Source organism: Homo sapiens, chromosome 2 (assembly GCF_000001405.40).
Source record: "Homo sapiens chromosome 2, GRCh38.p14 Primary Assembly".
In the NCBI taxonomy this organism is placed as follows: Eukaryota; Metazoa; Chordata; class Mammalia; order Primates; family Hominidae; genus Homo; species Homo sapiens.
In genome coordinates, this window is record NC_000002.12 from 119,958,718 (window position 1) to 119,986,010 (window position 27,293).

The following is a 27,293-nucleotide window of genomic DNA, read 5'->3' on the forward strand; positions in this document are numbered from 1 at the left end:
GCTGATCAATACATACTGTTGTTTCTGTTTAAAGACACTTTATTTAATATATAGTGCTGATTCATTAACATTTAACTCATAGTCAACAGCACTATAACTCATGCCTCAAGGAAGCTTATCTAACACACATATTTTCTCCATGAGGTATATCACATCCTTCTTGCACTTAGAAACACTAGTCAGCACTTTAAAACTACACTTGGGGGTCAGTTTTAAACAGCAAAATCACCAGTAAAAAAACCCAAAAGGTAAAAAGTAAGGCACTACATAGAATGCAAAAAGGCCACTTGTTTACAGTATGAGAGCTAAAACAAAATGAGTTGGTTTGTTTGATCTCACCTGGAAATGTGCATGTCTTCAGATGACTCAAATTTTTCACTGCTCTAAGTATGTCTACTAGATGACCAAGAAATCCCTGCAGCTGTTTTGAGGGTTATGAATAAATTTTAGCAAGTAGTCAAATTTGCAAATAGAGAATCCTTGATGGAGGATTAGCTACTTAGGAATATATCTCTGATAAGGCCTTTTTTTTTTTGGTAGCAAAACCACAATACTATTTTAACACTTAGAAAAATAATATCAGAGTTAAATGAAAAATACGTGCAGTTTACAAAAAGAAAAGTGCAAATGAAAACTTCAAGGAATTACTATTTCACCTGAGATTGAAAGAGCAAAAGTTTGGTAATACTACATGTAGGTCCACATCCTTTATGTGAAACCTTAGGTTAAATATACTATGGGGCCAGGCGCAGTAGCGCATTCCTGTAATCCCAGCACTAAAGAGAGGCATAAGCTGGAGGATAGCTTCAGCCCAGGAGTTTGAGACCTGCCTAGGCAACATTAGGAAGACCTCATTCTCCACATAAAGGGGCAGTGAGTGGGAGGGTGTAGAAAAATATGCTTTGGGATTCCGAATTTTTGGAATTTTGAAAGGGTATTTAGTACATATACTATAATAAGTAGCATCGCTGGCAGGCTATGGGACAAGTGCTCCATAATCAATATATCTGAATAGTTAACAGCAAACTATAGATATTCTCCCTAAGTAAGACTAATAAAGAGTGCAAATAGTCTTAGGTCAGTTCAGGTCAGATTTTGCTGTCAAATGAGCACAGGTTGGGGCAAGTTTACAGAAATAAAAAACATGAGGGCCTTAAATCTGCATTAAATATTTTCTTGTATATTTATACAGTAGAGCCATTTAAAAGAATGAAATTTTATTTACTCATCAAACATCATCTTGAAGATGAAGTAAAAAAGACAAGCAGAACAACATTATATATATAGTATACTACCATTTTTAAGCAACAGTTTTACAGAAAAGTGGGAAGTTGCATATATGTTTATATGTTGTATATAGAATATCCCTGAGAAGGCTATATGACAAACAGAAAAAGATTACCTTCCTGGCTGCAAACTAGAAGCTGAAATGGGAGAAGAGACTTTCTTTATTCACTCTTTGTTATTCTTTGAATTGTCATGTGCATATATCACCTTTTTAAAAAAAATTTAATCTCAAAATGTAGTAGGATAATGACTGATGACTCAACTTTCCCAAATACTATCTTACCTCTTTCTGAAAATTATGAATTTAAAATATTCTGATACCCTCTAAAGTTACTTTATATGTAAAAATTCAAGCTAAAACCAATGGCAGAATTTTTGTTCCTCACAAATTTTACCAATAAACTATTTACAGATAAGTATTTTTTATTTCTTTACCAAGTCTCTGCCTCTGAAACAAAATTCTGTGTTAAGCTGCTTTTAAAAATCATAATCGGCCGGGTGTGGCTCACACCTGTAATCTCAGCACTTTGGGAGGCCAAAGCAGGAGGATTGCTTGAGCCCAGGAAAATATTTAAATTCTTATTTCCACTAATTAAAAGATAAATACATGTAACTGTTGAACATTGCCATGAAATTTCTTCTACAGATAAAATAAGAAATTGTTAATAAAGATTTGTTTTACTGACGGCAGTTTATTGAGGTTAGTTGTATTCACTATAACAGTTAGTGGATGATTTTCCTATTCCTGATTACTGTAAAAAGTAATGCAAAACATTTTATTTTCATGCCCTTTTCTTTTTAGATGGAAATTCCTTCTTCCAGCATTATAAATCAGTACATTGCTTGTCAAGGGCCATTACCACACACTTGTACAGATTTTTGGCAGATGACTTGGGAACAAGGCTCCTCTATGGTTGTAATGTTGACCACACAAGTTGAACGTGGCAGAGTAAGTCATAGTTGAATCTTACACATTGCTTGGACTTTTTTCAAATTATACTGCACATATGTAGTCAAAATATTCATATTTATTTAAGCCTTTGTAACCTTTAATCTTCTTTTCTTGTGGTTTCTTGTTTTAAATCATCATGTTTAAGTGCATAAAACTGTGACTAACACATAAATAAATGTGACATAAGTGTTAGCCATTACTGTCATTGTTATTTAAAGGGATTAATATACATTTGTTAAGGGTCTTGTGTCTAACGTATATACAGAACTCTACAGTAAAATAAATAATGCAATTTAAAAATGGGCAATGGATCTGAATAGACAGTTCTCCAAAGAAGATATACAAATGGCTAAGAAGCACACGAAAAGGTGCTCAACATCATTATCAGGGAGATGCAGATCAAAACCTTAATGAGACTTTATATCCTAGAGGATGGCCAAAATAAAAAGGACGTATAAAAACAAGTTCTAGGGATGATATGGAAAAAACAGAACCCTCCTATTGTGGGTTTGTAAAACCATCCAGCCATTTTGGAAAACAGTCTTGTAGTTCCTCAAAGAGTTAAACGTCGAGTTGGTATAACTTAGTACTTCCATTCCTAAATCCAAAAGAGTTGAAAAGGTCTGTCCACACAAAAATTTGTACATGAGCATTCATAACAGCATTATTTATAATGGCCAAAATGTAGAAACAACTCAAATATACAAATAAAATGTGGTATAGTCTTATGGTTGGATATTATTTGGCAATAAAAAGGAACGAAGTAGTGATACATACTACAGCATGGGTAAACCTGGAAAACACTTAGCATAGTGAAAGAGGTCAAAAAGACCACATAGTGTATGATTGCATTTATATGAAATGTCCAGGATAGGCAACTCTGTAGAGACATGAAGTAGATCAGTGGTGGTCTAGATCTGGGGTAAGGATGGGGGAACGGATGAGGAAGAATGAACAATGACTACTAATTGGTATAGGGTTTATTTTGGGTGTAATGGGAATGTTCTAAAAGGGATTGTGGTGATGGTTGCACAGTTCTGTGAATATACTGAAAACTATTGTATACATTAAACGAGTGAACGGTATGGTACATGAATTACTTGTCATTACAGCTGTTTTAAAAAATCTTAAGATTTAATGAGGATTTTTGCTGCCTCAAAATATAGCCAGATTACTTACTATTAAAAAGGGAAAAAAGTGACAAAGAAAAAATGTCGGCTGGGCGCAGTGGCTCACACCTGTAATCCCAGCACTTTGGGAGACGGAGGCAGGTGGATCACCTGAGGTCAGGAGTTCGAGACCAGCCTGACCAATATGGTGAAACCCCGTCTCTACTAAAAATACAAAATTAGCCAGGCTTGGTGGCACATGCCTGTAATCCCAGCTACTTGGGAGGCTGAGGCAGGAGAATCGCTTGAACCCAGGAGGCAGAGGTTGCAGTGAGCCAAGATCGTGCTATTGCACTCTAGCCTGGGCAACAAGAGCAAAACTCCATCGCAAAAAAAAAAAACACTAGTCAGCAGATCGAGATGAAATTTATTAAATTTTTCTTGTAACTTTTATATGTTTGAAATTTATTAAAAAAACATTTTTAAAAATTGGAGAACATGAATCCATATGTATATAATTTTATTTATTATTTATTTATATCAATATCAGGTTAAATGTCACCAATATTGGCCAGAACCCACAGGCAGTTCATCTTATGGATGCTACCAAGTTACCTGCCACTCTGAAGAAGGAAACACTGCCTATATCTTCAGGAAGATGACCCTATTTAACCAAGAGGTAAGAAGGCAGGATATCTGTTCATTAGAACTGTTGTGTTCAGGGTAAAGACTGAAAGCTGAAAATGTTTTTAGTTTGAGTATTGGTTGCTAGGAAATACTATAAGAATTATTGAATTATTTATCTGCTTTAATGGGGTACTTTGGAATTTTATTAAGAGTATTATCCTATTCTATTATAAAATTAATGTTTTTCTTTAGTTTCTATGACTAAATATGAATGGTCAGTGAAAAAGTAGTCTGGTAAATAATACTACTGTTACTACTTTGCTTATTCAGAACAACTGTTTAGATATGTTTCATTATAAAAAAAACTTTTACTCCAAGTAGTATCAGTACAGTATTTGGGTGTGTCTGTGGAAATGGAAAAAACAATTGAAAGCTATTAAATTATTTTCCTTTTTTAAAAGAGTAGAGGAGAGCAACTTCACAGTCCCCTACCTATTAAGAAGGAAAAGGTTGTAACCAGGACCTTCTGACAGCAGATGGGGTGTAGATTTCTAATTGCCAGCTCTTAATTTTGCCTGAGTCAGTCCTCTTGGCTTCAAATGAAACTGATTAATAAATGATGGCTCAGTATCCCAATTGGAAGATGTATGTAGAGAGCGTCATGCTGCCAGTTCTGTCAGGCTGCTAGAGACAGTGCACCCTACTTTCTCTGCCTGCAGCTAGCTATCCCCCTGCCACCATCTTTGGTTTTGAAAGGGACTAAAAGAATAACTGCTAGAGAAGAGCAAATAGCCCAAGCTATGAGTGCCCAGGACTATCCCATCAATGGTCAAGCCTTTGGAAATGAGAACTCCCCTCCAACCCCAAGAGCATGATTAAAGGAAACCAGAGAGACAGAGTCTTACTGACGAAAAGGGAAGAAGCCAGAAGTTGTGCTGATTTATAGAAAAGGAATCTGGCATTGAATAAAGCTAAAATGACAAGAATTTTAAAATTTCAAAATTTTATGGGCTAGAGTCCATCAGAATGAATTTAGGGTTTGGGGACATATACTGTGTAGCTCATGGTCTAATGTAACAGGTCAAGCCAATATGATATTTCTTCATTTTCTCAAATAGATAATGAAAGATAGGCTACGTATGTTTATATAAAATAATGTCTATCTTTAGCATAGTCTCTATTATACTCCACCTGTAGATTATCCATGACAGTTTTATATACCATAGTGGCTTTTCTTTACACACCCTGAGTACATTAGAACTAAGACATGAGTTAGTTTCTAAAGTTTGAGCCAAACATAATTGGGAAAATGAGTTCGCTCCCATAAATACATACATACATGGATGGATTAATGATAGCAGATACTACCTCAAGTCTTGAATACCTTTTACTTTTACTCTTCAGGAAGCTCTCTTCAGTGTAAATGGCAATAACCATAGTTATAATTATAGTGTTGAATGACTATAGCAACCATTTATTGAGTATATGGTGCCAAGTAGCTGATGGGGTGATTTACAGGTCCTCTCATGGAGTCTTTTTAGCATAAGACTGATCCTTTAAAGTATAGATGTTATTTCATTTTTCAGTTGAAGGAAATTATTTTCTGAAACACTGAATGCTGTAACTGGCAGAGTCAAGATTTGAACCAAGATGTATCTAAACGCAATACTCTTACTGTCTCCGTTATACCAACCTTGGCTCTCCAAAAAGAATTAATCCCACTGATTTGACTTTGTGTTTTTATTAACTCCAATTTTTAATATACATTTATCTTGAGATTTTATTTTTCTGATTTCCATAATTTCATCTGCATTGTGTGAGGATTAGGTCAGCTTTGTTCACAAAAAATGTTTTTTACTTTACCATTTTTGCTCACCCAAGAATTCATTAGTTTTTTTTAAGCATTTCTCTGGGTCTTAATTTGTTTCTACCTATGTACTTGATTATCATCTTTAAAATACTTTACACATATAGAAATTGAGTTATAAAAAGAGTAGTAATGTAATTAGCCATACTTAAATGGATACAACTATTTCTGTAAAATAGTTTCTTTCCTTTTTGTTGAAATTTTGCATTTTAATGAGTTTATACATAACTTTTGGTGGAGAAGAGGAGTGGTTGGTTTTGCTTTCCTTCTAAAATTCCAATGACATGAATATATTTTAAAGATAATGTCATAGTACCAACAGGTTCATATTCCTGCTGTGCAATAACAGACGAATACACTGAGACAGCAGGGATGCAGCAGATAAAGAGTTTAATGATCGCAGGGTACCGAGCAAGGAGATGGGAGGAGACCCTCAAATCATCTCCCCAAGGAGATGAGATCTGGGATGGGGTTTTTAAGGGGATGGTGGAGAGCAAGGGGCTGGGAAGTTAAGATCGTTGATTGGTTGGGATAAGGTGGATGAAATCATCAGGAGGTGCATTCTTTGGTGAGTTAGCTTACCTCAGGGTCCTTTAGACCAACTGAGTCAGTAGTTTCATCAGTATGCAGGACCCAAAAGAATGTCTCAAAGGGGAAATCTAACATTTCATAATGTCCCAAGTTGTTATCTGTAGAGCAGTTAAGGGGAACTATAATCTTGTAATGGGTCTGTGGGATTCTGAGGCAACAGGCACCAACCAACTATGAGGACGCGGGTCAGAGAGCAGCTGACCTAGTGATCAATGCTAAGTGTGCTGCAAGCTGTGTTTAGTTTTCTATCTCCCCCTCCCTTCTTTCCTGATGAATTTTATGAGGTTTGTAGGGACAATTTCAATAATACATAAGTCAAGGTGCATAATTTTTCATTTGTTCTTAGAAAAATGAAAGTCGTCCACTCACTCAGATCCAGTACATAGCCTGGCCTGACCATGGAGTCCCTGATGATTCGAGTGACTTTCTAGATTTTGTTTGTCATGTACGAAACAAGAGGGCTGGCAAGGAAGAACCCGTTGTTGTCCATTGCAGGTACTCTGTTTTCCGTCTTTTATGAGTGTATAGCTGAACAGATACGTCATTTTTAAAAGAGAGTACATATTTTGTCCTTATGGTGTTATTGTCACTGTAATAATTAGAACTCAAAGCTATGCTCTGAAGGTAGGAGGCAAAGGATATGTTCTAACATATGATTGGCAGTAACTTTATCATAAGATATAAAAATAATACTGATTGCACTGATTCTTAGATGCTCCTCCTTTTCATATTTTAACACCTCTGAAATTGGTCTTAACAATTTACAATAGATTTGATGAAGTACAGTACTGTGGGCTGTCTTAGTCCATTTGTGCTATGTAACAAAATATTCGAGACTGGGTAATTTAAAAGGAACAGAAATGTATTTCTTATACTTCTGGATGCTGGGAAGTTCAAGATCAGGGTACACACAGGTTCTCATGAGGGTCTAATGAGGACTGCTCTCTGCTTCCATTATGGCACTTTGTTGTGTCATTCTCTGGACGGGATGAATACTGTTTCCCCACATGCTAGAAGGGACAGAAGGGGTGAACCCACTCTCTGAAGTCCTTTTATATAAGCGCTTTAATCCCATCAGCCCTCATGACTTAATCACCTCCAAAAGGTCCCACCTTTTCTTTTTTTTCAGTCGGAGTCTCATACTGTCACACAGGCTGGAGTGCAATGGCATGATCACAGCTCACTGTAACCTCTGCCTCCCAGGCTCAAGTGATCCTCCTGCCTCAGCCCCCGGAGTAGCTAGAGGTACAGGTGTACCACCAAGCCTGGCTAATTTTTGTATTTTTTTGTAAAGATGGGTTTTTGCCACGTTGCCCAGGCTGGTCTCGAACTCCTGGGCTCAAGGGATCCACCTACTTCGGCCTCACAAAGTGTTGGGATTACAGGTGTGAGCCACCGCGCCTCACCGGTTCCACCTCCTAATATTATCACATTGGTGATTAAGTTTTAACATAGGAATTTTATGGGACACATTCAGACAACAGCTTAGGCATTAGGTTACAGCCTAATATTTAGATTCCCTTCCTTCTTCCTTGCCTGTGGCTCCTCTTAGGACATTCATTGAGTACTCCTACCTCTCTTGAAGTGACCCTACCAAAGGCTTTGCTACTTCTAAAAGCTTTAAGTAAACAGCAGGCTACTCTTTCTTTCTTTGAGACCCAAGTCCCCTTCTGCCCTCAAAGGGCCAAATACAGTGACTTCAGTCTTTACTGCTACTGATCCAGAGATTAGGAGACAGTTGTTCCTCCCTATTACGGCCACCTTTGTTAAGTGATTTATTCAGAGGATATCTTGAGGTATCTCTTTATACTTAGACTTTCCAACACACTTTAAGAGTAGAGTTTCAAATCTTCAAAACAGATTATAGACCAAAATTTGAGAGGTAAAGTAGCAAGAATGGTGAAACACCATTTTATATCCCAAGTCCCTGATAACTACTGCATTCGTGTTCACAGATTAGAAGTTAAAAAGTTGTTCTTGGCTATCCCAGTGGTAAAGTTTAATTTAAAATCAGACCGGGAGCGGTGGCCCATGCCTGGAATCCCAGCATTCTGGGAGGCTGAGGCGGGCAGATCACCTGAGGTCAGGAGTTCGAGACCAGCCTGACAAACATGGTGAAACCCTGTGTCTACTAAAAATACAAAAAAAATTAGCCAGGTGTGGTGGTGCACGTCTGTAATCCCAGCTACTCGAGAGGCTGAGGCAGGAGAATCGCTTGAGCCCAGGAAGTAGAGGTTGCAGTGAGCCGAGATCGCACCACTGCACTCCAGCCTGGGCGTGAGCGAGATTCCGTCTCAAAAAAAAAAAAGATATATTTGAGTTTAAAATATTGTTGTCTTTTGTGCATTCGTTGATGGTTTATTATTGTCATTCTATCATTTTGCATTTTAAGGAGTTGCTCCAGTAAGCTTCTATTCCTTGTTCAGATTTTAAAAACTTAAATTTAACTCCTTTAAAATAGTATTTTTCCAACTAACGTGGTAGATGGAAGATACAGAACAAGTAATTGAGTCAGTGCATTTTTTTTCTGTTTTCAAAATATTCTGTATTTGGCTTACTACTTTTATAATTAAAATATTAAAATGATATTGTTCTTCTGTGTTATAATTCAGTTTTATGCACAAAAGCCACAAGTAGTTTAACAGAATAGTATCGGTAAGATCTTGCCTATATTTGTCTTTTTTAGTGCTGGAATCGGAAGAACTGGGGTTCTTATTACTATGGAAACAGCCATGTGTCTCATTGAATGCAATCAGCCAGTTTATCCACTAGATATTGTAAGAACAATGAGAGATCAGCGAGCCATGATGATCCAAACACCTGTGAGTACTGTACTTTATATACAAGTGTATATTCTTAACATGATGATTTTTGTTGCCAATGCATATTCTAAATCATATTTTTATCCTTTTTTATCTTTTCAATTCCTTGCCATGGTCAAATAACCTCTAGCACAGGGGTAAGCAAACTACTGCCCACTAGTCAAATCTGGCCTGCCACTTGTTTTTGTAAATAAAATTTTAGTGGAACACAGCCATGCTCATTTATCTATGCCTGCTTTGATATTATAGCTGCAGAGTTTAGAAGTTGCAACAGTACCATATGGACTGCTATTTCTAAAATATATTTAATATCTGGCCTTTTACAGAAAAAGTTTTGCTAACATGCAAGTTGCCTGGCATATTAAATCTTGAGTGCTTAAACAGGCACAGAGGAACTTGCTTTGTATTATTTAGTCAAGCTGAATGCTGAGAATGATAGTATCCCTGAACTGGAGAGTCTTGATAGACCTGCTTTCTGTGAAATAGCTGTGGTGAAATTGTTTTTCTTTTTACATAAAAACTTGCATTGCAGCGGCCGGGCGCGGTAGGTAGCTCACGCCTGTAATCCCAGCACTTTGGGAGGCCGAGGCGGGCGGATCACGAGGTCAGGAGATCGAGACCATCCTGGCTAACACAGTGAAACCCCGTCTCTACTAAAAATGCAAAAAAAATAGCCGGGCATGGTGGTGGGCACCTGTAGTCCCAGCTACTCAGGAGGCTGAGGCAGGAGAATGGCGTGAACCCGGGAGGCGGAGCTTGCAGTGAGCCGAGATTGCGCCACTGTACTCCAGCCTGGGTGACAGAGTGCGACTCAGTCTCAAAAAAAAAGAACTTACGTTGCAACAACAAAAATTACAGAAATTAAGTTACTTTTTAGTGCATTCTACACTGAGTATTAATTATGCTTCAGGAGCCAAAAGAAGAATCATGGAATTTTAGTGTTAAAATTATCTTTTGCACTGATTAAGACACTGTGAAATAATAGCATTGTTGGTGGAATAGGTTACTTGAAGGAAATTGACCTATGTGATCCAGTAAGTGCCTATAATTTTTTTGTTTTTGTTTTGTGAGACAAGAGTCTCACTCTGTTGCCCAGGCTGGTATGCAATGGTGTGATCATAACTCACTGCAGCCTCAGCCTCCCAAGCTTAAGCAATCCTCCCACCTCAGCTGGGACTACAGGCATGAGCCACCACATTGGGCTAATTTTTTTTATTTTTTGTAGAGAGGGGATCTCACTATGTTGCTTAGGCTGGTCTTGAACTCCTGGGTTCAAGCTGTCCTGCCACCTCAGCCTCCCAAAGTGTTGGGATTACAGGCATGAGTCACCATGCTCAGCTTGGTTTTTAATTACAGAAAATTTCAAACATAGACAATATAATGAATATCATGTTTATACTCAGATCCCACATTTGCCATATTGTTTCATCTGGATAGCTGTTCACTTTCCCTGTATTTGAAGCAAATCCTAGATATCATATCATTTTGTTCATATTTTAGTGTGTATCTCTAAAAGATAAGGATTGATTTTCCTTTTAAATAAAACCGCAGTACAATTATCAAGAAATGTAATCAATTTCTTTTTTTTTTTTTTTTTTTTTTTTGAGACGGAGTCTCGCTTTGTCGCCCAGGCTGGAGTGCAGTGGCGCGATCTCAGCTCACTGCAAGCTCCGCCTCCCGGGATCACACCATTCTGCTGCCTCAGCCTCCTGAGTAGCTGGGACTACAGGCACCCGCCACCATGCCCTGCTAATTTTTTGTATTTTTAGTAGAGACGGGGTTTCACCATGTTAGCCAGGATGGTCTAGATCTCCTGACTTGGTGATCCACCCGCCTTGGCCTTCCAAAGTGCTGGGATTACAGGCGTGAGCCACCACACCCGGCCATCAATTTGTTAATATTATCAAATTGGCAGTATTTAAATTTCTAGTTGTTTACTAAAAACCGTCTTTTTAAATTTTATAACAGCTTTATTAAAATACAATTCACATACCATAAAATTCAGCCGCTTAAAGTATACAATTCAGTGGGTTTTGTGTATTACAGAGGCTTGCAACTATTGCTACTATATAACTTTTATTTTTATTTTATTTTTTATTTTTTTGAGACAGAGTTTCGCTCCTGTTGCCCAGGCTGGAGTGCAATGGCATGATCTCAGCTCGCCGCAACCTCCGCCTTCCGGGTTCAAGCGATTCTCCTGCCTCAGCCTCCCGAGTAGCTGGGATTACAGGCACCCGCAACCACGCCCAGCTAATTTTTGTATTTTTAGTAGACACAGGGTCTCTCCATGTTGACTAGGCTGGTCTTGAACTCCTGACCTCAGGTGATCCACCCGCCTTGGCCTCTCAAAGTGCTGGGATTACAGGCATGAGCCACCAGGCCCGGCTATATAATTTTTAAAACATCTTCATTCCCTGCCACCACCCCACCCCAAAAAACCCCAAGCTCATTAACAATTATTCCCATTTCCCCTCATACCCTCTCTAACCTCCCCCAACCCCCAACCTCCAATCTAGGCAATCACCAATCTACTTTCTTTCTCTGTAGAGTTGCCTATTCTGGACCTTTTATATGAATGAGATCATACACTTTGGTCTTTTCTAACTGGCTTCTTTTAAGTAGCATATTTAAAGGTTTATCTGTACTGCAGTATGTATTATTACTTTATTCCTTTTTCTTGTTCAATAATATTTCATTGTGTATATTTTTACCACATTTTGTTCATCCGTTAATCTGTTGATGGACATTTATTTGGTTTGTATCCACTTTTTGGTTATTATGAGTAATGCTGCCATGAATTTTTATGTGAACATACGTTTTCATTTATCTTGGGTATACCCAGGAGTGGAATTGCCAGGTCATGTTTTCATTCTGTTTAACCTTTTGAGGAACGGCCAGTTGTTTCCAAAATTTCTGTACCATTTTGCAGTTCCTCTAGCAGTGTATGTGGCTTTTGTTTTCTTCACATCATCATCAACACGTGTTACTGTCTTTTTTTATTTTAGCCATCCTGCTGGGTATGAAGTAGTATCTCACTGTGAATTTGTTGTGCATTTCCCTGATAACTAATTGTATTAGTCTGTTTTCACACTGCTACAAATAAACACTTGAGACTGGGTAATTTATAAAGAAAAGAGGCTTAATTGACTCACAGTTCCCCAGGCTGTACAGGAAGCATGGCTGGGAGGCCTCAGGAAACTTACAATCATGGTGGAAGGCAAAGGGGAAGCAAGCAGGTCTTCACATGGCCGGCGGGAGAGAGACAGAGAAAGAAGCAGGAGGTGCTGCATACTTTCAGACAACTATGTCTTGTAGAGAACTCTATCACGAGAACAGAAAGGGGGAGGTCTGCCCCCATTATTCAGTCACCTCCCACAAGGCCTCTCCTCCAACACTGGGAATTACTATTTGACATGAGATTTGGGTGAGGACACACAGCTATACCATATCACTAATGATGTTAAGCATCTTTACATGTGATAATTAGCTATTTATTTGTATATATTTTTTGGAGAACTGTTCAAATCTTTTGCCTGTTTTTGAATTTGGCCGCCATTTTATTGGCGAGTTGTAAGTATTTTTTTTATGTTTTCTGGATAAAAGTTTCTGATCAGATCTGTGGTTTGCAAATATTTGCTTCCATTTTCTCTTTCTGTTTTCTTGATTATAGTAGTTGATGCACAGAAGTTTTGAATTTGGTGAAGTCTAGTTTATCTGTTTTTCCTTTATCACTTATGCTTTTGGTATCATAGATGAGAAATTATTACCTAACCCATAAATGAGTCTACAAGTTTTATAGTTTTAGCTCTTGCATTTAGCATTGATCCATTTTGAGCTAATTATTGTGTGTGGTTTGAGGTAGGGTTCCAACTTAACTCTTTTGCATGTGGTTACCCACTTGTCCCAGCACCATTTGTTAAAATGACTGTTCTTTCCCATTGAATTGTCTCAGGGCTCTTGTCAAAAATCAGTTGAGCACAAATATAAGAGTTTATTTCTAGACTTCCAATTCTATTCCATTGATTTGTATCTCTGTTCCTATGCTAGTACTACACTGTCATCATTACTGTAGCTTTGTTGTAAAATTTAAAATCAGGAAATGTAAATCCGTAACTCTTTTTCATTTTCCAGCTTGATTTAGCTATTCTATGCCCCTTGCATTTTCATATGAATTTTGAATAAGTTTATTCTTTCTGAAAAAATAAAAAAAAAACCAGCAACCAGAATGTTCATAGGGATTGGGTTGAATCTCTAGATCAAATTGGGAAGTATTGTCATAATAGTGATATCACATCTTGCAAAGCATGAACACAGGATGGTCTTTCTGTTTATTTAGGTATTCTTTAATTTTAATTGTAGTTTTCAGCATGCAAGTCTTGCGTTTATTTAAATTTATTCCTCAGTATTTTAGTATGTTTTGGTGCTATTGTAAATGGAATTGTTTCCTTTATTAACCAATAGTTTTGTGTGTGAGAGAGTGAATTTCTTAGGATTTTCTTTTGACAAGATCATGTCATCATGTCATTTGCAAATAGATATGTTACTTCTTTCCAATCTAGATGCCTCTTTCCTTTTTCTTTGTCTTTCTTGTATAAGTATCCTGGATAGAACCTCCAGTACAATGTTGAATAGAAGTGATGAGACCAGAACACTTGTCTTCTTCCTAATCTTAGAGGGACAGTTTTTAGATTTTCACTAATTATCATATTAGCCATGGATTGTTTATAAATGCCCTTTATCAAGTAGAAGAAGATCCCTTTGTTACTTGTTCATTGAGTGTTTTCATCCTGAAAGTGTGTTCAGTTTTGTTAAGTGCTTTTCCTGCATCTGAGATATCATGTGGTTTTTGGTCTTTTATTCTATTAAGGTGGTATATGACATTGATTTTTAGATGTTAAATTGACCTTGCATTCCTGAGATAAATCTCACTTGGACATAGTATGTAATGCTTTTTATATGTTGCCTGATTTGATTTGCTAGCATTTTCTTGAGGTCTTATATCTATATTCTTACATAATAGGATTTTTAAAAAGATTTTAATTATGGCAAAATACACATAACATAAAATTTACCAGCTCAACCATTTTTAAGTATACAGTTTAGCAGTGTTAAGTATACTTACATTTTTTTGCAACCAATTTGCAATTTCTTGCAAAACCAAAACTCTATATCCATTAAAAAAAACTCCCCATTTTCTCCTCTCCTGAGCCCTTGGTAACCACCATTCTACTTTCTGTTCCTATGAGTTTGACTACTCTAGATACTTTACGTAAGTAAATTCATGTATTTGTCTTTTTCTGACTGGCTTATTTCACTTAGATTAATGACCTCAAGATTCATCCAAGTTGTAGCGTAAGTCAGAATTTCCTTCCTTTCTAAGGGTGAACATACCACATTTTCTTTATTCATTTATCTATCAGTGGACAGGGTTGCTTTTGCCTTTTGCCTATTGTGAATAATGCTGCTAAGAATATGGGTGTATAAAGATCTCTTTGAGACCTTGCTTTCATTTCTTTCAGGTATATACCTAGAAGAGGAATTCCTGGATCATAGCACACATGGGCTTTTGGTTTTGTTTTTATAATTTGTTTAAAATCAGAATTCAGATATAGTCTACACATTTTGATTGGTTTATATGTCTCTTAAATCTCTTTTAATTGAAAGCTTCCTCCTTCATTTCTTGTTTTTTTTTTTTTTTTTTTTTTTTTTTGGTAATTTACTTGATAAACGAATCAGGTTGTTTGCAACATATTTCTGACGGCGTGAATTTTGCCAATTTACATCCTCAAGGTGGTGTTCTCTGTGTTTCCTAAAAGTGGTACATGTATGGCTTGAGCATCTTAGGTCATATATTCTTTCTTCAAACGCACATAATGTCTGATTGTCTTTTTTTTGTGAAGTTAGCACCCTTGAGTAATCAATCCCTGCATTCATTAATTCATTGGATTTGCAAAATAATGATATTCTAATTCTATCATTCTGTCTTTATTAGCTGGACTACTTCTTTAAAGAGAAACTTCATATCTACTATTTGGTTAGCAAGTGGTATAGCATGTGTAGGAAAGGCAAGAAAAACATTTGATTCTTTCCCTTTATCTATAAGCTTTCAATATAATGAATCATTTACTAGCTTCCTCCAAGGGTGATGACTTAAATTTATTTGGGTATTATTTTGAAATCAAGGATTTAAACATAGTTGATGTGTTTTAGCCCATTGTAGTTTTTGTTGTTGTTTTGTTTTGTTTTGTTTTGTTTTGAGATGGAGTTTCGCTCTTGTTGCCCAGGCTGGAGTGCAATGGCGCAATCTTGGCTCACTGCAACCTCCGCCTCCCAGGTTCAAGCAATTCTCCTGCCTCGGCCTCCCAAGTAGCTGGGATTGCAGGCGCCCGCCACCAGGCCTGGCTCATTTTGTTTTTAGTAGAGATGGGGTTTCTCCATGTTGGTCAGGCTGATCTTGAACTTCTGACCTCAGGTGATCCACCCGCCTCGACCTCCCAAAGTGCTGGGATTACAGGAGTGATCCACCGTGCCTAGCCTGTAGTTATTTTTCTTAGTGATATCCAGATTGTCCTATTTTTGGCCAGTGGGAGCCTGTTCACCTTGGCTTCTGAGTCCTTTTGTCAAGACCCTGGTAACTTTGATAGCTTTGTTGCTATCAGAAAATATATCCAGGCCCAGCTTGTACATCTTGTGCCCCTGATTTAGAATCAGTAGTTTCTCCAAGAAGCCCGGTTCTTTTTATTGAGAAACTATTTTAGGCACCAACCTCTGAGCACTAAGGACTTTTATTTGCTTGGGTTAATTTTTGTCTCTCAAAATGATAAATGGCACAACCAGTAAAATACATTTATCATAGGTTAATGCTTATGCTTCCAATACAAATTCAGGACCACAGTGTTTTTACTTAGCCTCTTTTACATCTTTAACAAGAATACTGGTTCTTTACAATATTAGCAATGAAAGACTTAGAATATCACAAATACTCCACATTACACAACTGTTTCAGAATAACAACACTACCACTATAAACAGTATGGCTAATGAAAAGAGTTTTCCTTTTTTTCACAGCTCTTTTTGCCCTTTGAGTATATTCTCCCACAGTATGCAGTCAAATTACTGAGGTGTTTGTTTGTTTGTTTGTTTATTTGCAGTATTTTTGAGACAGAGTCTTGCTCTGTTGCCAGGCTGGTTTGCAGTAGTGTGATCACCACTCATCGCAGCCTCAACCTCCTTGGCTCAAATGTTCCTCCCATCTCCACCTCCCAAGTATCTTAGGACTACAGGCACACACCACAGCACCCACCCAATTTTTTTTTCTTTTTTTGTAGACACAGGGTCTTGCTGTGTTGCCCATGCTGGTCTTGAATTCCTGGCCACAAGTGATGCTCCCACCTTGGCCTACGAGAGTGCTGGTATTACAGGCATGAGCCACCATGGCCAGCCAAATTACTGTTTTAAAGTCCCTTCAGGGATGGGTGCGGTGGCTCACGCCTGTAATCTCAGCACTTTAGGAGGCCATTGCAGGTGGGGATCACCTGAGGTCAGGAGTTCAAGACCAGTCTGGCCAACATGGTGAAAGCCTGTCTCTGCGAAAGTACAAAAATTAGCCGGGCATGATGGCAGGTGCCTGTAATCCCAGCTACTCCGGAGGCTGAGGCAGGAGACTCTCTTGAACCCGGGAGGAGGAGGTTGCAGTAAGTCAAGATTGCGCCATTGAACTCTAGCCTGGGTGACAGAGTGAGACTCCGTCTAAAAAAAAATGTCCCTTCAAATAGCTCTCCTCTATATGGTTGTCATCAACTAGATACACACATTGATTAGTTTTATGATATTGTCAATGCTTAGGGATTTTAAGATTTTTATAATTATATGCTATATTTACATTATTCCAAAGTATAAATCTAAAAAGGAAGGTATATTTAATGAAGTCTAGTCTAGTCTCTGTCCCTCTCCTGCTCCCATTTCCCTCCATCCCTTTATAAGAAACTATTTTTATTTATTTTATTTTATTTTTATTTATTTATTTATTTTTTTTTTTTTTGAGACGGAGTCTCGTTCTGTTGCCCAGGCTGGAGCACAGTGGCGCGATCTCGGCTCACTGCAAGCTCCGCCTCCCAGGTTCACGCCATTCTCCTGCCTCAGCCTCCTGAGTAGCTGGGACTACAGGCACCCACTACCACGCCCGGCTAATTTTTTTTGTATTTTTAGTAGAGACGGGGTTTCACCGTGTTAGCCAGGATGGTCTCGATCTCCTGACCTCGTGATCCACCCACCTTGGCCTCCCAAAGTGCTGGGATTACAGGCGTGAGCCACCGCACCCGGCCAAGAAACTATTTTTAAAATAATTTATTCTTCCATTGCTTTTTTTTTCTTAACATACATCAAGATAGATACTGTATTTTCTTCCCTTTCTTTTATAAAGGTAATATAATATATTATACGTACTTTACCTACCTTGCTTTTTTTACTTAATAAAATAACCTGGAATCATTCTCTAGTAGTTTGTAGACTTTTATCCCTTTTCTTCCCGACTAGCTAGTATTCCATTTTGAGAATGTACAGTAGTCACCTGGTCCCTGTTGATGGCAATTAAATTGTTTCCACCTTTTCTGTTATAAATAATTAGGCAATGAATAGCCTTGTTTGTGAATATGTGTTTTCAGTTTCTTTTTCTGGTTTATTTTTTGGATAGATTCTTAGAAGTGGGATTGCTGGGTGAAGAGGTAAATTAGGTTAATTTTCTTATATGCTGCCAAATTCCCCTTTATAGAGGCTGCAGTATTTTAACATCCCTACCAGCAACATATAAGTGAGTTTTGCCAACAAAATATATTGCCAAACTGTATTTTTTAACCAGTCTAGACTGTTAGTGAAAAATGGTATCTTTATGCAGTTTTGTTTTGCATTTTTTAAGTAAGCAAGCCAAGTGAGATGTTTGTCTTTTTTGGGGGGAGAGGGGACGGTTTTCTGACTTTTCTGATCAGTTCTGTTTTTTATATTTTATTTTTCAGAGTCAATACAGATTTGTATGTGAAGCTATTTTGAAAGTTTATGAAGAAGGCTTTGTTAAACCCTTAACAACATCAACAAATAAATAAGAAAGCAAAAAGATCTGGGATATGTGTTGGAAAACTGCTTTCCCTTATGTTCACTGTGCCATAATGCTGCTCGCAGGAAATGGCATTTTACAAAAAAAAAATGAAGAACTCAAAAAAACTTTGAAAACTTCAGCACTGTTGCACTTTATGTTTTAAAAAATGTCACTCTTTCAAAATCTATAACTCATGTATTTGAAGACTGTTTCATGCTTTGCTCCGAACAAATAGTAAATAACTGAGTATGTTCAGGGTAATTTATGAAATTTTGTGGTGGTGCCATGCAATCCCCTTTTGGTAGAATTGCCACAAACAAGGCTCAAAATTCTCATCATCTCTGTTATACACCTGTATCATGAAAGCAAAAAGAAGTAAACATCAGGAGTCAGCTCTGGTCTTTTGCAGTGGTTTGCGTACTTACTATACTGATTACCAGATTTTATTTTTAAAATTTTAGCAATATCGTTCTTAATATTAGCCAATACACTGCCTATGGATGCAGCACATTTTTCCCTGCACACCCCCTGTAGAGACCTGCCTGCTGCTCAGAAGAAGAAAGATGGAATTTGCTGTTCCCAGGAAATGCTGCACATTGTCCATTTACCAGCATCTTATAGAAAATATAAATATGAATCTACAAATTCTCTTGGATTTAATAATGTAACTTATATTTATCATAAGGTTGGCTTATTCCAAATCATGTGATTTCACATACTTGATGTAAAGGAATGCATGCATTGTGTCTTAACCCCTTAAGTGCCTTGAGACGTCCTTGTATGTCTAACGAAAAGGCACTCATTTGACCCCACTAGGAGGTATATATGTATATTGTACATTCGTATATTTTTATGCATTTTGAATAAGTTCACATTTTAAAAAACAGCTATATTGAGTGTTATACAGTCAAAGAAGGGTAAGGAAATTCTGTTTCTTACTCAGTACTCGTGATTTGCTATAAGAAGCAAAGATAATTTGTGTTCTACTGAGTGCACACTGCTGCTATGGAATTGTTCAAAATCTGCACATTCCTTTACTTGAGGGACTGAGGGGTTACGGTTTAGCAGCTCAACTTTAAAAGATGCTTTTATGCTTCAAATTTCATATTTATTTCATCCCTAACTTTAGGAAGACATCTAACATGCAGATTAATGTTAAACATATTGATAATCTAAGCTAAAGTTAGAGCAAATAATTGTGATTTATTCATGTCCATAACTAAAATATTATTCTTTAGCACTCATTTCAGTTAATATCAAGCTTTGTTCACACTGATATATTGATTGGGATTCTTCAAACGAAGAATGAAACATTATTGACTTATTTCTAAGTGTAATAACTCAATAACTAAATTGAGAATTTTCTTGTTTTTTTGTGTACAATTAAATTATTCCATTTTATATATACTTATTAAGTTATAAGCATGTTAATAAGGAGACTTTTGACTGTCCAGCCTAATGGAGGATCTGATTCCCATTAAGGATGTGGGAATTCCCGTATTTTCCTCTTCAGGTTTTTTTGTTTTTAAGTCTACAGAGAGATAGAACCTTAACATTGCCCAGTTTGATAAAAGTGAAAATTTGCTCACCTATACAAATGTTATTTTACACAATTATTTTATGTGGATTGGGGTTTTAAAAGATTCATTTCCTAGCAGTTTCTGAATATTTCTGTAAGATCTTGATAAAGTTTAGAGTCAAATGGCAGATATTTTGGAAAGCCATTTAGTATGAGGGGAAGAGTACACATTTTAAATCTTTGGTATAATCTAAACGATGTCATTTCAGACATTCAAAACTCATAATAATAAATTTCAGGAAATCAAGCTCCTAAACATTAATAGCCAAGATACCAAATAAATTATCATATTAAAATATTTAAGTTTATTTAAAGAGAGAAGTAAACATAAACTTATGTCAAAGAGAAATTCTCTTAATCTATTTCCTGACTTCACAGTCAAAACAGTATAAGATAGTGAAGTAACTTATAATCTTATTTGGTCATTCTGTTCTATAAACAGACAAATATAATTTAGGCTGCTATATGACATGATAAATTAAAAACTGAGAAAGTAAAATTATGTCGGGGTCTACACATTAAATGACTGTTTTGGCAGTTTTTCACCTGAATTTAAAAATAAAATTTGTCTGTTCTATCTGTATGGACAGAATATGACAACCATAGACCAAAAGATATCATTGTATAGATGTAAAGAGACAAAAGTCATGGTTGGCATGTTCTTTAATTTAGGGCCTTGTTTATACTTGTGAGTTTAATAATTTCTTGGCAATGAGCACTGCTGCCTTTTTAAATCATCAATGCCTGTCTTTAAATGCCAATCATTAGAAGTTTAGAATTACATTTAAATTTCTCATATATGAATTTTTCATCTGGGAACTACCCACTGTCGTCATTTTTATGTGCAGAAAAGATCCTTTTTGAAAACCATATTTATTGGGATCTTATTTAAATTTAAATTATCCTTTACAACTTCTTAAAATGAATATGCTAATAGATAAGACTTTATCCATTACATCTAAGAACTTTTTAACCTGTATATCAATCTAAATAGGTTTCTAGAAATAATCCTAGCTTTCATACACCATGTAGTTCTAGACTCCGTCCATATCAGTGTAACATTGTGTGATAAAATGCCAAATGTCTTGTATCTAAGCTACGCTCCCACTCTTCCAGCCACCCCTACCTCCCACCTTGACACCCTTAAGAAAGCAATGCTGACTTTTATTCTGACAAGTGGAAATCAATAGTGGTTAATCAAGTGGATTTTGTAAATGCTAAGAAGTGTTTGTGAAAACCTTCCCTTTCTGAGTTAGGATTGTTTTTTCCTGTTCATTTCAGGTGTTTTATTGAGCATCTGATTTGTGTCAGCACCATGTAAATATGATGAGGAGTATTTGGAATAGACTTTACATTCACCAGAAAATTGATAGTATTTGTTAAACCAATGCATCCATTCAAAATAGAGGCAGAGTAAACAGCCTAAGAAATGATTTCCTTTCTACAGTCTGCTAGGAGAAAGAGGTGAGAGGGGAGTGGTTGATGATTTTAATCAAGAGTAAAGGGAACATTTATTACATGAAATCTGACTTCAGTTGTGCAAAGGTATGTTAAGACATTAAGACAATTGCTGGAAGGTTTCAAATATGTGTACACACACATAGAGCTACTTTTGTGTGTTTATTTATATGTATATTTCACAAAGGCTAATGCCCACAGAGGAAAATGATTATTTTAACTTCTGGGTTATCATCTGCTGGCAGGGTCTGATCAGGTCTAGAGTATTTAAGGAAAAGTCTCCTGTCTTCTATCTCCACTAGAAGTACTGCAGCTTGAGAGCTGAAAGGAACTTGAAAAATGTTATCCAGTCTTCACTTAGCCCATTTTTATCGGCATTAGGAAATAGGGTTCAGCAATGGTTATTGATTTAGCAGTCTGGTCTTATATGATCTGCTTTCTAATTATCTATCTAGTATTCCTATATTATACTGGAACTTCAATAAATTATAACCTATGTGAATATCATAAATTCTTGTGAATTTTTGTCTATTTCCAGTAGAGAAGCATACTCAGCCAATGTTTTCACTTAATAACTATGACAACCTTAAAGGATGTCACTTAAGTTAGAAAATAAGCAGGCTTAAGAAGTGATTCTAATTAGGACCCCCACTCAGTTTGCTAGTCATGCCTGCCTGACAGAACATAAGCTTTTGTAAAGTATTTAGACTGATAACACATGCAGTATGAAAACATTATAGACTGCAGTTAGAAGACTAATTTTTTAAAAGCACTCAAAACATAGAACTAAGATTTAGAATATATGTCCATTTATAATGAAATAATTTGTGTTCATAATGTGAACATGTAAGATAAGTAAATAAAGCATTACTTGTTTTATAATATCAGGAAGAGAGAAGGAAACATTAGTTTATAACAATGTGCTATTTAATATCTGTATTTTGAACATTTAAAATACTCTGATGGTAAGGTTGCCAAAGTAATTTTGAATTCATAAAAATTGTTTATACCACAATAATGTGGGATATGTTTACAGGCTCTTTTATTTTGTGGTAGTTACTTTATAGTTCAGATGAATTTGCATTTCAGTCACTTATAGTAAATAAAGTATATTAAATATTTGTTGGAATAAAAATCTCAATGTAATAGGACATAGATAAATTATGCAACAGCCTGCTTTGATGAAAGCTGGTGCATTATGTGAGCTGCCACAGTTAATACTTTGTATTAACATTGCTTACTTCCCCCATTTGCTTCACCTATCTGACTACAATTGCTGGAATCATTCTTTTTGTGGTGCTTCCTCCAAGTGAAATAACTATGTTATTAAAACCTACTGGATTAATTTTATCAAATATCAGACTTACTGATCTCTTGGCAGAGATTTATTGGTGTCTCAGTGTGATCACAATACAAGTTGTAGCAACCATTTTATAAAACTCTTAGAGAATTATGTAGATAAAATGGAAATTACATAATCCTAAAACATTTTTGAGGGCTAATTGATAATAATTTCAGCAATTTTATTAAGAACCCAGTAAATTAATCCCTAATTTGTATGTTTTTTGTTCAACTTACCGTGTCTGCAACCATTATATAGACTTCATTGATACTCAGCAATTACTACAGTGTGTCTTACAATGTTATAAAAAACAAACAGCAATCTCTGTTTCTGCCAGAAGTTAGATATTTTTTTATAGTCCTGATGAATTTGTTGTGAGTAGACACCACATAGTTATTTCTGTTTGCATATAAATTTGCTGCTATTTATTTGTATGTTTTTCTACTGTAGTATGCTATTGATTTCTGAAGTTATAATCATAATTTTTATTTTAGTAATCCAAGCTAAATGGGCAACCAGAAGTAATATCTGCTAGGGTGCAATCCATCAGCATTGGTTCAGTGCATATACATAAGTAAACCAGTTTAAAAAAATTTTACTAAGCAAAAGGTAGTAGCAATATTGCTAGTTAAAGATTACCATTTTAGGGGAAAGTTCAAAGGTTTAACTTCCTGAAACCTTTTAAACTTTTCAGTGCAAGAATGAAAATGTTTGAAAGCCTTGTTAAGCTCATAAAAGTTTCATTTAAACACTGTAGAGTTTCCTACCTTTGTTGTGTAAAGGATATAGAAAATATTTTTCTATGGACAGAAGGTTGAAACTGTTAACTTCTTTAATTTCATTGTTTAAAGGAGATAAAATGTTATTTGTGTGTCTTTCATGCTGTAAAGAAAATGAATGTATCTTTCAAATGTCATTAGAATTATGGCTTGATTCTAAGGATACTCTATTTGTTTTAAAGTCTACACGGGATTGAAAAGAAAGGGAAGAGTATTACACTTCATTGTACAAAATGTAATTTTAGAAGAAAAACATTTTCATTATAAACAAGAGCAATCATTGAAGCATTTTCAGATATAATGTACATTCTTTTTCATTTTGCTTTGCCTCTAGAATAGAAACTTTTCAGAAAATTTGCACATACTGTTTGTAAGTATAAAATAATTGAATTCTAGACTTTTGGAGTGTGGAAGGGTGTTTGTGTGTGAAGGTAATAAATGTGTTGCTGCATGTGTTTACCATAGAGAACGTTGCCAGGCTTTGTCAAATGAGGACATTGTTGTGAGGGTGTGACTTTTGTGAAGCCAGAAAACTGTGCCTAAGATTCATTACAGTGAGTATGTGCAGAGGCCCCTGACCCAGTAAATGCTTTTTGCCTTTTTATTCCCAATGTCTTGGACAGTTGAGACAACTTGGCCCAACTCTGAATTGTAGCAGTGATGTCTTATATGCTTACGAGTTTATATTAATTCAGCTGAACAAGAACTACATCTTAAACCACCTTTGTAGGTATGATTAATACGTGCAACAGCTGCTTTAAAAGGTGGTATTTATTATTCATCACTCATGAAACTTGACTCAGTGAGGACTTCATTATTTTTATTTCTCTTTCCACGTCTCCAACTTTTTAAAAATCACTAATTTAACTCTTTGTTAAGTACTCAAGTACAAAGTGATCTCTTCTTTCATGAACTTTGCTATAACTGTTGAAAGGATTGGTGTCAGGCTCTCTCAACCCTGGGAGTTTCCAAAATTTAGCAAATATTACTTGTGATAAGCTTAAATGCCACATCGCTAAGTACAATTATTACCAGGAATCCGTCAAGGGGGAGATAGCCCCGCTCACACCCTTAGACCCAAACAGGTGCTGGTTCATGCTTTCTCCACAAATTGGCAGTTGGGTACTTCCCCACTGTCATCACAGTTGAGCTCATTTTAACATATATTCAAAGAAGCTTTTTAGTTTCTACTCCTGAATTGTAGTGTTCAAGTTATTTGCCTTCCTGGGTAAGAAAATTTTAACCCAAGTCTGGGATTCTCTGGCACCTGTCTTTTCCCATCTTTTAATGAGTTGGCAAGATTAGGTCAAATTTCAATGCTAAATTTGATTTTTTGAATTTTAAATAGTTGCACTTTATTTCATGCTGACCACCAACTTAATTTATACATTTTAAAATAAAATTATCCTAGAAGTGTTGTAAACGTGGGAAAATTTTAATTAGTGTTGGAGGTCATTAGATTGGACCCAGGTTTAAATATAATGATCTCTTCACAGCTTATTTGATGTTTAAGAGCAACTTGTGTGATCTTAGCTTTGCAGGTTTTCTGTAATTTATGTAGCACAATAAAGGATAACCAGTTGACTGTGTTACTGGACTCTGAGTTCTCACAGCTAGTTTCATCTAAGCTTGGTTTATTATCATTTCTGCTTTGGATTTTTTTGTGCATCACATGAATACTTAGAAATCCATTTGTTTTCAGTGTAGTACCTAGGGTGAAGTAGATGCTGCACAAGTAAGTTTAAGGGAATAAAAGTCCCGACACTTTATATACATGTTGAGGGGCACGATTTAAGAGACTGAAACAGTTTACATTAAACTGTTTTTATTTTCTGCCAGTAGACTCTATCTGCTTAAAAAAATAAAAATTGTTCAACCCAGTGTTCTCCAGCATCAGGACATTACAGTTGTAATCTATGTTGTAATCTTTTCAAATAAGAAAAGCTACTCCTTATTCTCTACAGTGTAGGCTTAATTTTAGAACCGATAATTTACTATATCTGCATTATTGATATTTTTAAGTAGTAGTTTTAAAAATAATTATTTCTATGTGGAGGGTGTTTTAATTTGGGATTTTTTTTTTCTTGTAACAGGTGCTATTTGTAAATATGAAGGGGAAAAGTCACTTAGTTAAAAGTCTAGCTTATGTCATAATTAAGATACAATTATTCATTTCATGTTTGATTCTATTAAACTAGTGGCAAAACAGAATTGGTCCCTTAGTTTTTTAGATTACCTTTCCCCCTATATCACAAAAATATCTCTTTCCATATGATCTCATAATTGAGGCAAAGAAGCTAAGGGTTTATTTAAAATGTGTATAAGCTTGAATTTGGTCAACACTGCATAATTTGAAATCACTCTGCATTTGTCACTGCAGCTTACTGTATGCTTGAAAGGCCTTGTGTGTTTGTCTTAATTTTAGTGAAAAAATTAGAATTTCTGCCATTCATGTACAAAAAAATTACAACTACAGCAAACAAGATAAAAATGCTGGTTTGCATTAATACTGTTTTAGTCTTAAGAGCAATTTATATTATGTGAAATGCTGTTACACATATTTTGTTGGCCATATTTCATTTTGAGAAACAGTTGTTCAGGTACAAACATGACAAACAACTCTAGCTATGACTCTTAATGTTCAATTGCAAAATAAAGATGTGCTTTAGTAATCTAAAGTACAGAAGTTTTGAAGATTATTTTATGGGAGTTTTTCATGGGCTTTTCTAACAGTGGTTATATTTAGTAACTGGTTATCAGGAATGGAGAGAATGACAAGTGTAAAATTTATTTCTGGAGTTATTGACTCACATAGTGGCTGTATTTGAGGAAAGGGAGTAGGTGAGGAACTAAAAGGGATTTAGAAGATTAAATAGTGTCTGAAGAGGCCGGGCGCGGTGGCTCACGCCTGTAATCCCAGCATTTTGGGAGGCTGAGGCGGGCAGATCACAAGGTCAGGAGATCGAGATCATCCTGGCCAACATGGAGAAACCCCGTCTCTACTAAAAATACAAAAATTAGCTGAGGGTGGTGGCGCACGCCTGTAGTCCCAGCTACTTAGGAGGCTGAGGCAGGAGGATCACTTGAACCTGGGAGGTGGAGGTTGCAGTGAGCCGAGATTGATTGCGCCACTGCACCCCAGCCTGGTGACAAAGTGAAACTCCATCTCAAAAAAAAAAAAAAAAAACAGTGAAGAGAAGATTCTGTTTAATTGTGGCCATTGCTTGGCTCCTGTCCTCTCCCAGTACCAACCCTCTATTCTGGTAATCCTAAGGTAAGACCTTGTCAAGCAAAATAAAGGACCTCTCCTTCTATCCCTGAAGTCAGCTTGCCTAAGTGCAGTTAGATATGCTGTTTTTCCTCTGAAAGAAAAGAAGTACCTAGAGAACAGGTAATAAATAAAGCAGAAAGGTGATTTTTGATTATGCCATGCCTTTGTTCTTATGTACATAATAAAAATTCAAACACTGTAATGAAGATCAAAATGATTTTTAACATCCTCTTCCTCATGCTCCACCCTAAGAAAAGCCCTCTCAAACCAGCGGCAACCTCTATTCAATTTCTGGTATTTTCTTCTGGGGTAAAAATGTGTACTTACATTTGTGTGTACGTGTACATACACGTTTTGTTAAAGCCAACAAGGTTGTACAGTATGTTCTTCTGCAGCTTGCTTTTTCGTCTTGGGATATATACAGATGTTGGGATACGTATATCAGCATGTTCAGATCTATCTTATTCTTTTTCACCACTGCCTAGTACTCTATCATATGGTTATACTCTAATTTCTTA

At 36.2% G+C, this 27,293-nt stretch overlaps 1 protein-coding gene across 1 annotated transcript in view; it reads left to right on the top strand.

Annotated features, from left to right (window-relative positions):
• The window catches only part of PTPN4 (protein tyrosine phosphatase non-receptor type 4), a 224,978-nt gene extending 198,796 nt beyond the window's left edge, over positions 1-26,182 (top strand). Inside the window, exons 23-27 of the mRNA NM_002830.4 lie at positions 2,090-2,236; positions 3,899-4,027; positions 6,780-6,928; positions 9,120-9,255; positions 18,267-26,182. Of these exons, the coding sequence (NP_002821.1) occupies positions 2,090-2,236; positions 3,899-4,027; positions 6,780-6,928; positions 9,120-9,255; positions 18,267-18,353 (648 nt within the window). The 3' untranslated portion in view covers positions 18,354-26,182. The remainder of the gene's footprint in view (positions 1-2,089; positions 2,237-3,898; positions 4,028-6,779; positions 6,929-9,119; positions 9,256-18,266) is intronic.
• The last annotated feature ends 1,111 nt before the right edge of the window (positions 26,183-27,293 follow it).